This window comes from Homo sapiens, chromosome 1, assembly GCF_000001405.40.
Source record: "Homo sapiens chromosome 1, GRCh38.p14 Primary Assembly".
NCBI lineage: Eukaryota > Metazoa > Chordata > Mammalia > Primates > Hominidae > Homo > Homo sapiens.
This window is the reverse complement of record NC_000001.11, coordinates 102,547,377-102,551,448: the sequence shown is the minus strand read 5'-3', so window position 1 is coordinate 102,551,448 and position 4,072 is coordinate 102,547,377. Positions and strand designations below refer to the sequence as shown.

The following is a 4,072-nucleotide window of genomic DNA, read 5'->3' as shown; positions in this document are numbered from 1 at the left end:
GTAGAGGGATAGCATTAGAAGAAATACCTAACGTAGATGATGGGTTGATGGGTGAAACAAACCACCATGGCACATGTATACCTATGTAACAAACCTGCATGTTCTGCACATGTGTCCCAGAACTTAAAGTATAATTTAAAAACAAAGGAAGCAAAGCATAAAAGTTCAGAACATTTGCAGCCTGATGATATGATAGAAAAGAACAGTCTTTTTTCTGATGAGAAATTCAAGCTGGCTGCAAACATTTGCATAAGTAATGAGGATCCAAATGTTAATTATTAAGACAATGGGGAAAATGTCTCCAGAGCATCTCATAGGTCTTCAAGGTAGTCTCTCCCATCACAAGCCAGGAGGCCCAGGAGGAAAAATATGGTTTCATGGCCTGTGCCCAGAGACTTGCTGCTTTTTGCAGTTTGGGGACTTGGTTGGAGCCCTCACACAGAGTCCCTACTGGGGTGCCACCTAGTGGAGCTATGAGAGGGCCACCGTCCTCCAGATCCCAGAATGGTAGATCCACCAACAGCTTGCCCCATGTGCCTCAGAAAGCCGCAGACACTCAATGCTAGCCTGTGAAAGCAGCTGGGAGAGGGGCTGTGCCTTGCAAAGCCACAGGGGGCAGAGCTGCTCAAGCCTGTGAGAGCCCACTTCTTGTATCACATGACCTGGATGTGAGACAGGGAGTCAAAGGAGATTGTTTTGGAGCTTTAAAATTTAATTACTGCCTTGTTAGATTTTGAATTTGCATGGGTCCTGTAGACCCTTTGTTTTGGCCAATTTCTCCCATTGTTAATGGGTGTATTTACCCAATGGTTGTACCTCCATTGTATCTAGGAAGTAACTAACTTTTTTTTTTTTTTTAACTTTACAGGCTCATTGGCAAAAAGGACTTGCCTTGTCTCAGGTGAGACTTTGGACTTGTACTTATGAGGTAATGCTAAAATGAGGCAAAACTTTGGGGGACTGTTGGAAGGGCATGATTTTGTTTTAATATGTGAGGACATAAGATTTGGGAGGGGCCAGAGGTAGAAGGATATAATTTGGTTATGTCCCCACCCAAATCTCATCTTTATCTGTAGTTCCCATGATCTCCATGTGTCATGGGAGGGATCCAGTGGGAAGTAATTTCATCATGGAGGCAGTTACCATCATACTGTTCTCATGATAGTGAGTGAGTTCTCACAAGATCTGATGGTTTTATAAGGGACTTTTTCCCTTTTGCTCATGCTCTCTTCCTTGCTGCCTTGTCAAATATGCCTTTGCTCCTCCTTCACCTTCCCCTGTGATTGTGAGGCTTTCCCAGCCATGTGAAACTGTGAGTCTATTAAACCGCCTCCTCTTTATAAATTAGGTGTTCTCAGATATGTCTTCATTAGCAGCATGAGAATGGATTAATACAGTCTCACTGTATTTTATTTTCAGTATAATCTCCCATGTTTCCTCTGCTTCAACCACAATAACTTTCTGTTTTTGTTTCATCACAGTCATTGGTCTTCTACTCTAAATTTCTCTGGGATTCATTCTATTACTTACTTCGGAGCCATTTTCAAAACTAGCCTTCTCAGTCATGTTTTATCTGACTATATTTATATCTTAGACTCCTTCCTTGATCTCCTATTCTCTTTCCCTGCTTTCGTTTTTGATAGAATATTCTAACATACTATGCAATTTCCTTATTTATTTTTATTTATATTTGTAGGTCCCAGAGCTTTAGATGCACATGGGCAATAATATTTTCTATTTTGTTCATTGATATATCCCAAGTACCCAGAAGAGTACATAGCACATAGTAGGTGCCAAAAAATATTTGCTGAAGAAACAAATTATTACCAGAACATATTTGCTTTATTTTAAAATACATGTGTTATGACTTTAACCATGTAAAACTTTACATGGATAAAGGAGGGAAAGAAAAATTACCATGTTTGCCACTGGGTATCTTTTTTTCAGGGGACTCTAAGTAAACTTTTTCTTCTTCTTATTGCTCAGCATTTTTTATAACAAAGGTGTATTACCTTGGTAATAATAAATAATAAATTATAGTTTATTTATTCAGTAATGAACAGGTATATATAAATATCAAATGCATTCCTTAAAATAATAATACATAACTAAAAATATTATTATCACTTTCAGTCATTTATTTTCTCTTTGTTATATTTTTAACTATCCAGAGGCATACTATTAGGTCATACATTAGATTCAGAAGACAAGCAAATAAAAATATCATCAATGTCATGTTGAAAGTGACTATAGTAATTAAAAGCATTATCCATCATTAAAATTTTCTTATGATATTGTATGACTTCAAGGTGTGATACATTGACTTAAATTTTAGAAAATACCAAGTAAATTTCCAGTTGCAACAAAATCTTTGTTAAGGGTTTTATGTTGATAAAGTCTTAATACAAAGATGGGAAATAAAGTATGACATTACATTGCCAGATAAATAAGAGATTAATAAAATGCCTTTTTCTTTGAAGCACAGGAATATTCTATAAATCAAATTTTCTTAGTGTATATGTCTAAATGTGATTTTTAAAATTCATTCCTGTATGTCAGCAGCAAACATTTCCTGAGCTCTCATTGTCTAGGCACTATAGATTAAAACTATCTGGGCACTATATATTAAAAAAAAAGTAATAAAACTCTATTATCACTTCAAGGAGCTTTCAGGCAAGAAGGAAATGAATAGAGAAAAACATAATCAAATGCAGTATAGTAGGTATTATGATAGACATGTTTGCAGGTTTCTGCAATGTTTATAGAAGAGGTCCCTAAGCCAGTTAAGTTCAGGAGTTGCTTACTGCTGGAAATAAAAATATTCTCTTTAGTATGTACAGTGCACTGAAGAGCAATAGATATTTATTGACTGAAGTTTGGTAATCTCATGTTAGCATCCATAACATCAATATTTATTATAATGAGTTGTGAGAAATTAGACTGAATCTTTACTATTTCCTGGGCAATTCCTGGAAGTTTGTTTTCTGTAACATTCTACTGCCAGCTTTTTTATATTTTATTTGTGATTTAAAAAGCTAAGTAAAATGTGGAAAAACTTGAGGTAACTTAAAATTGCAGTCAGTTGTATACAATAAAAGCATTTGAAGATATTCTAACTTTAAAAACATCACTTCTGTGTTTTTAAAGACAATCCAGAATTGCTTTTGCTTTCGAAAGCTTTTAAATTGTTTTTCAATAGCTTTTAATTTGGAAAATTCCAATTATTTATTAAAAATTTTCAAAATACATTAATGTATTTTTAAAGGATTCATATAGCTTACACTTAACAAGAATTCTAATTTTATTTTACATAATGAAGTGTTTATAAGGCAAATAAAAAATGCATCACCTACTCATGGAGATCAAGAGTGTATACTGATCTAGGGATATAATGAAATCATCATGATCCTCATTTGAAGGTTGCTTAAATACCAATTTTTACAAAACTGTCATTTTATGCATTACTTTGTGATATATGTGATTATTTGTGGTTTTTCATTTGTGTGTATACCCTGAATGTTGACAGATAAGAGGAGTATTTCAAAAGATTTAGATTACTTCCTCTCAGCTATAAGCCCTATGTCCTAAAATATACAGAGATGGAAGGGTAGATGACTCAGGAAAACAAATCGGAACCTCTGTCATTGCTGTGAGCCCAGACTTGCCTGAGGATTGTACCAAATTAAGTGTCTGTAAAAGAGATTCTAATATCTAATGTGGAAGCAAATTGTATTGGAAGTATTTATCACTGATGTGCTGTTGATCTATGCTTCATCCTTTTGAATTAGGCAGAACTTGGGATTAAGTGACAAAAACAATGAGGAAAAAGCATAGAATAGTAGCTTTCTAATATTTATTATCAAAACATTTAGAAATTTAAAATGGAACTGCTTTATTTGAAAATGTATTTTATAATAAGCTTTATTTTAAAATATGAAATATCTCATTAAAAACATGCCCTAAGCAGTTGCCTATAAGCAATCACCTACTTATTCAAATGTATCCTTATGCTGCATTGAGCTGGGCAGAAAGGCCAGAAAAAAAGAAGTAAATACAGGTTGTACCCTCAGAA

The 4,072-nt window shown here is 34.3% G+C and overlaps 1 annotated feature.

Moving 5' to 3' along the window:
* Positions 381 to 500: a silencer, noted in NCBI's record as "silent region_1127". NCBI's record gives its function as "represses an Ori minimal core promoter by ATAC-STARR-seq in GM12878 lymphoblastoid cells {active_cell/tissue: GM12878}" and the evidence as "EXISTENCE:reporter gene assay evidence [ECO:0000049][PMID:35858748]".